The sequence below is a fragment of the Homo sapiens genome, chromosome 12 (assembly GCF_000001405.40).
Source record: "Homo sapiens chromosome 12, GRCh38.p14 Primary Assembly".
Taxonomy (NCBI): domain Eukaryota; kingdom Metazoa; phylum Chordata; class Mammalia; order Primates; family Hominidae; genus Homo; species Homo sapiens.
In genome coordinates this window covers 108,612,816-108,620,049 of record NC_000012.12, presented here as the reverse complement: position 1 = coordinate 108,620,049, position 7,234 = coordinate 108,612,816, and the positions used below count along the sequence as shown (strand labels likewise).

Genomic DNA, 7,234 nt, shown 5'->3' with positions numbered 1-7,234 from the left:
AGGACTTGGGAAGTTGGGAGTGCTGATTGGTCAGGTTGGAGATACAGTCATAGGGGGTTGCAGTGAGGTTTTCTTCATGTCTTCTGTTCCCGGCTGCGATGGCAGAACTGGTTGAGCCAGAATACCAGCCTAGGTGGTGTCAACTGATCCATCCAGTGCGGGGTCTGCAAAATATCTCACGTAGTGCTCTGAGGTTTTACAATACTGATGTTATCCACAGGAGCAATTTGGGGAGGCTTAGACTCTTGGAGCCAGAGGCTGCATGACCCCTAAACCATAATTTCGAATCTTGTAGCTAATTTGTTAGTCCTGCAAAGGCAGATCGGTCCCCAGGCAAGAAGGGGGTCTTTTCGGGGGGAAGGGATATTATTAATTTTGTTTCAGAGTCAAAACACGAACTGAATTATTTCCCAAAGTTAGTTCAGCCTAACTTTGGGGAAGGAATGAACAAGGACAGCTTAAAGGCTAGAAGCAAGATGGAGTCTGTTCGGTCTGGTCTCTTCCACTGTCATCATTTCCTCAGTTATAATTTTTGCAAAGGCAGTTTCAGTCAGATTAGAAAACCAGGATTTGGAGAGTTCTTGCTCTTCTGCTCCCAAATACCTTCCAGTCATTTCCATAGAGAGAGAAAGAAGCTGCCGCTTAAACAGACTCTGTTCTACCTTCTAGGAGAGGAATAAAAGTCATCTCAGGGGATAGTCTTTATTTTTCTTCTTGAAAAATACCTCCGGCTGGGTGTGGTGGTTCACGCCTGTAATCCCAGCACTTTGGGAGACCGAGGCAGGAGGACGGCTTGAGCTCAGGAATTTGAGATCAGCCTGGGCAACATGGTGAAACCCCGTCTCTACAAAAAATACAAAAATTAGCCAGGTGCAGTGATGTGCGCCTGTAGTCCCAGCTACTCAGGAGGCTGAAGTGGGAGAATCACTTGAGCCTGGGAGGTAGAAGTTGCAGTGAGCCAAGGTCATGCCATTGCACTCCAGCCTTGGCAACAGCAGTGAAAAGCTGTCTCAAAAAAAAAAAAAAAAAAAAAGAAAAGAAAAGAAAAGGAAAAAGAAAAAAAATACCTTCAATGGCCTCTTTGGAAGTGAAGGACTTCTTTCCTTGCCCCCAATGGTTTATCCCGGAAAAGGGGAGTTCACAGAGAAGGTTGAGTCTGGCAGGGGTTGGCTGTGGCTTGGGAGAGAGGGGTTGGAGGAAAGAGACAAGGGAAAGGTAGGAAAGAGCCGTCAGGGGGAAAGGCCATGGGACAGCATCGGGGAGGAGTGGGGAGAGGGCCCACACATATTGGAAATGCAGTGTCTGTCTCCTCCCCTGAACTTCTGGAAGGATCAAATCTGATACACACAGGCAGGTGTGTTCAAAGTGTCCTGGGGGTGCTGATGGAAGAAGGTGGGAGTGTCTGCCATGGGCTGGGTCAGTTAACACCCGGGGTCGGCAGGCTGATGGGTCAGGAGAGACTGAGTCTACCTCCCCTTTGGGAGGGATCAGAAAAATCAGAGAAGGGGAGCTGAAGGCTCCACAGCAGGGGGCTGTGGACTCAGGCTGAAGGACCTCTGAGTTGTTCCCCAGGGATCTTGTCACCTCGTCTTCCTGGGAGCTTTCCCCTATTTCCTGACAGCTCCTGAGGATGCTGTGTAACCACAGATTTCCATTTGCGTTGGAAGAGGGCCACCTTCCCTTTACAGTTTTCTCTCTCTCCAAGGTGTGGGATTTCATTCAGGGTGGGCGAAGCCGGGTGCTTGAAGCGGCCACCAGGGGGCGCCCGCCGCCAGCTCTTAGAGCAGGTGGAAGCCTGCGTTTCCCTTGGGCCAGACTTGGAGATCATTTAGCCAGGAAGGAGCCCCAAAGCCAGTGGCGTGCTGTTAAGTGTTTAACAACTGGCTTCCAATGGGAAAAAGTCCTGATTTGTAGCATTTGCCAATGTCTTCCATGTAAATACTCCCACAGCCGATTTTGAGCTACCAACCATTATATAGTTGATGATACAATAGGTGTTAGTAACAAGGGCATCGATCATCGGATAATGTAGTACAATTATTAGGAATTGGTGAGTTTTGAGTACTGATGACCTTGGCTTTTAATATAATAGAATTTAATTTATTAAACAACTGACACAAAATTCTGAAAATTTTGTTGATTAGCTCTCACGGGCAGATATAGTCTGGCTCCTGCACACCCCTGTGCCCTCCCCTCCTGCCTGGGCCTCCCATGCCCTTGAGGACCACCAGCCTGAATCACCCCACTCATCCATTCAGCAAACACATCCTGAACACACACACAGCTGCAATATCCCCGTGAATCCCCTCAAACAGCTCTCACAGACGGTTCTAGTATTCTCCCCATTTTACAGAAGATGAAACTGAGGATGAGAGCTAGGTGAAGTCACCTGCCCCAGGTCATGAAGAGGATCTGAGATTGGAACCCAGACCTGAAAGCCAGGATCTTACCACTGTGTCACGCTGTCCTTGAGATCACAGCGGGGTTCTGGGGGAATCCCACGCCCCAAAACCTCAGCCCTGCTGACCTGCCCTGGGGCCTGGAAGTCCCCCATTAGTCACCCTCTGTGGCTCCTGGCTGCTGAGGGAAGGCGCTGTTCCTTGGGAGGGTAACCGAGTACAGCGCAGCCCTCTCATTGCAGAGAACACAACACAGCAGAGCTGGGGCCTAGGACTAAGAGGGATGGCCGGGGGCAAGCAGCTGGCCTTTACTGAGCACTTACTGCATACCTAGTGCCTTGTCAAACAGTTTGTCTGCATTATCTCATTTAGGACTCAACCTCATAATGTGGGTGCAATGATTGTTCCATTTTCTTGCCAGGGAAACCGAGGTTCAGAAAGCTGAACCACTTGCTCCAGCCGGTTGCACGGTTAGGAAACCACACTGTGCTGACTTCAGCTCTGCCAGCAGGGAAGGAAGGAGGGTAGACAGGAAATGGGGGGCGGGGGATGATGGGCTCAGTTTGTTCCAGGTCCCTTGTCTCTTACAGGCTGGGGCTGCCACCCTGGGGGTGGTTCATCCAGCAGCTGATCTGGCAGGGGCTCCCCAAATTCTTTCCCCAGATCCCATCCCTCTTTGCCACTCAACCAAGCCACCGATTACTATGGAATGTGCCAGGCACTGTGAGAGGCCCTGGGATGCCATGTGAGTAGGACAGGCCTGTAATCCCAGAACTGTGGAAGGCCAAGGTGGGCGGATAACTTGAGGCCAGGAGTTCGAGACCCCTTTGGGGCTCATGGTCTAGAGGGGGACAGATTGATCAAATAATCACCCAGGAAAAGATCAGATTATGTCAGATTATGGCTGGGCCCTGAGCCCAGAGGAGAGATGCTGGGAGCAATGGGGCCAGAGCTGGGGGGCATGGGTCAGGAAAATCATGGTTGAAACTTGAAGGACACAGAGTTATTGACTTGGGAGGGAAGGGATAGAGGGAAGAAAGTTCCAGGCAGTGGGAGCATCATGGGCACAGGAGTTTGCACTAGGGGAGCAGACAAGGTGGGGGCAGCTGGAAGGAGCCAGGGTGGCCGCATGGAGGAGGAAGAGGCTGTGTGAGGATGAGGAGAACCTGGACTAGAGCAGGGTGCAAAGAAGTTGTGGAATCGAGAGGTAATTGGGAAGAAAAGGGTAGGAGTTGCTGATGGGTTGGAAGTGAGGAAAAAGGAGGTTGAAATCTCAGGTTTCTGACTTGGGCAGCTATCCTGATGAGGGTGCCACGGGGTGGCTGGGAAAGCCATGGAAGGAGGTTGCAGGGCTGGTGGTAAGAGGAGTGTCCTGAGCTGGGGTTCAGCCAAGTTGGGTCTCAGGGCCTGCTCAACCTCCAGGTGGAGGTTCCAGGAAAGCTGTTGCAAAAGATGCTTGAGGTCATTAGCCATCAGGGAAATGCAAATTAAAGCCACAGTCAGATGCCACTTCACACCCTCCAGCAGGACTAGAATTAGAAAGACTGACAACACCCAGTGCTGGTGAGGATGTGGAGAAGCTAGAACACTCACATGTTGCTGGTGGGAATGCAAAATGATACAGCCACTTTGGAAACCAGTTGGGCAGTTTCTTATAAAGTTAGACGTGTACTCACCATGTACTCCCCATCCAAGCCAGAAATCCCATTCTTAGGTATCTCCCCAAGAGAATGAAAACAGATGTTCATACAAAGACTGCTACAAATGTGTACAGCAGCTTTGTTCATAAGATCCCCAAACTGAAAACAACCCAAATATCCATCAGCTGGTGAATGGATAAATAAACTGTGGTCCATCTGTGCAAGGAAATATTACTCTGAATAAACAGGAGTGAGGCACTGATTCTCATGCCAACATGGATGAATCTCAAAGACACCATGCTGACTGAAAGAAGCTAGACACAAAAGGCTATATATTTTTTTCTTTTTAGAGACAGGGTCCCACTCTGTCACCCAGGCTGGAGTGCAGTGGCGCCATCATAACTCACTGCAGCCTTGACCTACCAAGCTCCAGCGATCCTCCTGCCTCAGCTTCCTGAGTAGCTAAGACTGCAGGTGTGCACCACCATGCCAGGCTAATTACTTATTTTTTTGTAGAGATGGGGGTCTTGCTATGTTGCCCAACCCAGGCTGGTCTCAAACTCCTGGCTCAACTGATCCTCCTGCCTCGGCCTCCCAAAGTGTTGGGGTTACAGGCGTGAGCCACAGTGACATACAATCTGGCTGGGCTGTATGTTGTGTGATTCCAATGATAAGAAGTTCTGGAAAAGATCAGTGGTTACTCTTGGGGGTGGGAAATGATTAGCAGCGGCTTGCAGGAACCCTCTGGTATGATGGAAACATGTTTTATTTTGGTCTGGTTGGTTGTCATACGGGTGTCTGCATTTGCCAAAACTCACTGAACTGCATTTTTACAATTGGTGCTTTTTACTGTGTGTAAAATATACCCCAAGAAGCAAGCAAACCAATAAGCAAGCAGGCAAGCAGGTGAATTCACAAGGCTGTGTGAACCCAGAGGTCGGCCAAGGCATGTGTGAGAGCAGGGGGCCTTGGGCATGCTCCTTGGAGCTCCCACAGCTGCTGTCCCTGCCCCTCCCAGGGACTGGGTGACGGGGAGGCCCAAGGAAGCCACATCTTTTGAGGTCCCCTGTGAATGTCCTTACCTTCTGCGGCTGTTCCCCTGCTCAGAGACTATCAATGGCTCCCCAGTGCCCAAGTCCACAAGAAGTTTCCAGCTTCCTCACTCGCTGCCCACTCACCTATATGTCTGCCTGTCTGGGCAAACCGGCCCTCTCACTCCTCCTCACCCATGCCCCACGGCTCCTGCCCTCTCTGCCTTTTGTTTCCACTTTTAGGGCTCAGCTCCCCCAGGCCCTGGAGATCTTTTTGGATCCAGCCATGTCTCTGGGCTCCTCCTTTGCTCACCCCCATCACCCTACTTGCTGCGGGGCAGTATTTCACCCCGTCTTTGCCCCAGTCCTGGGCACAGAGACCAGCTTGGTTGGCCAACAGTTAACTCCAGGTTATTCCTCCTCCATCTGGGGCCTCAATCTTTCCATGTGTAGAATGGGCGTCTCTGTGTCTGCTTATGCCATCAAGTGGCCACTGCTTATGTGTCCTTCCCACTCAGATAAGAGTCACACAAGGCAGGGATTTTTCATTCCCCAGAAGACTTGGGAAGGAGACAGAAGTCAGTCTGATGCCTGGTTCTGTCTTTGCCATGTGTCTCTCCAAGGCTCACAGTCCTCATCTGTAACATGGGATGCTCATAGGGCCCGGGGCACTGTAAACAATTACCCTTGACAATAGCAGAAGTCGACCTACCCTGTGAGGTTAGGTCTTATTCTCAACCCCATTTTATGGATGAGCAAATGGAGGCCCAGAGAGGTTCAGTGACTTGCCTAAGGCCACACAGCATGAAAAATCACAGATTCGGGAGTAAACTCCTAAGACTTTCTGGGGCCACCAGCCACCAAAGGCTGGCTCCTTGAGAAGGGGCTGGGAAGTCCCCAAATCTCCAAATCTCCAATTCTCCAAGCCAGGTCCTGGCGTGACTTCTCATCAGCCACAGAGCTCCTCTCTGGAGGCCACTCTGTGCTCACAGCATCCCCAACTGGGAGAGGGGGTCACTGGGAGGCAGTCACTGGGCACTGCCCATTCACGAAGCCTCTACAGAGCTGGGTGCCGGGGAGGAGGTGGTGCCAAAGATTGCTGAGGGAGCAGAGGGGGCTGCGTCCTTCCACCACCCCTGGACTCACTCTATGAGACCTTGGGCATGCCACCGCCTTCTCAGGCCCCGATTTCTCCTTCTATGAGATGGGAGACGTCTGTATTAGTTCCCCGCTGGAGGGACAGCTTCAAGGAGCCAGAAGCAGAACTGGGGGGAATTCCCAAGGCTGTGTGAGCCCAGAGGTCTGCCAAGGCGTGTGTGAGGGCAGAGGGCCTTGGGCATGCTCCTTGGAGCTTCCACAGCTGCTGTCCCTGCCCCTCCCAGGGACTGAGTGACCGGGAAGCCCAAGGAAGCCACACCTCCTGGAAGTCCCCTGTGAATGTCCTTACCTTCTGTGGCTGTTCCCCTGCTCAGAGACTATCAATGGCTCCCCCAAATAAGACAAGTTTCTATCATATTACAGGGTCCCTGCAAGTCCCTCCAAATCATTCCCTCCCCACCAAGGGTAACCACTGGTCTTTTCCAGAACTTATCATCGGAATCACACAATATAACATACAGCCTGGCCAGATTGTATGTTACCGTGGCTCACGCTTGTGACTCCAACACTGTGGGAAGCTGAGGCGTGAGGATCACTTGAGCCAGGAGTTCGAAACCAGCCTGGGTTGGGCAACATAGCGAGACCCCATCTCTACAAATTTAAGTAATTAGCCTGGCATGGTGGCGCACACCTGCAGTCCCAGGTACTCAGGAAGCTGAGGTGGGAGGATCCCTTGATCCTGGTAGGTCAAGGCTGCAGTGAGTTATGATTGCACCACCGCACTCCAGCCTGGCCTGCAGAGTGCAGGTGAATGAACCTGGTTGATGTAATGGGTACTGCCCTGAGAGAGGCCTCCCACCAGGCAGCAGAAGGCTGCAGCTTGGGAGAGAGGGAAAACCTGGAGGCAGGACTGTGAGAACGTCTGCCCAGAGGCGGGACCTGCAGCTGTGGGGAGAGGTGGCATTCCTCAGAAAAGGATGTGAGCCTTTGCCGATATGACACCTCTTGGTAATGGCAAAGATGTTCTCACACCCCACGTGATGGGATATTTTTTATATCCACTGGG

The 7,234-nt window shown here is 51.7% G+C and overlaps 2 annotated features.

Annotated features, from left to right (window-relative positions):
* Positions 1,669-1,718: an enhancer, noted in NCBI's record as "active region_6971". NCBI's record gives its function as "activates an Ori minimal core promoter by ATAC-STARR-seq in GM12878 lymphoblastoid cells {active_cell/tissue: GM12878}" and the evidence as "EXISTENCE:reporter gene assay evidence [ECO:0000049][PMID:35858748]".
* Positions 2,299-2,758: an enhancer, noted in NCBI's record as "active region_6970". NCBI's record gives its function as "activates an Ori minimal core promoter by ATAC-STARR-seq in GM12878 lymphoblastoid cells {active_cell/tissue: GM12878}" and the evidence as "EXISTENCE:reporter gene assay evidence [ECO:0000049][PMID:35858748]".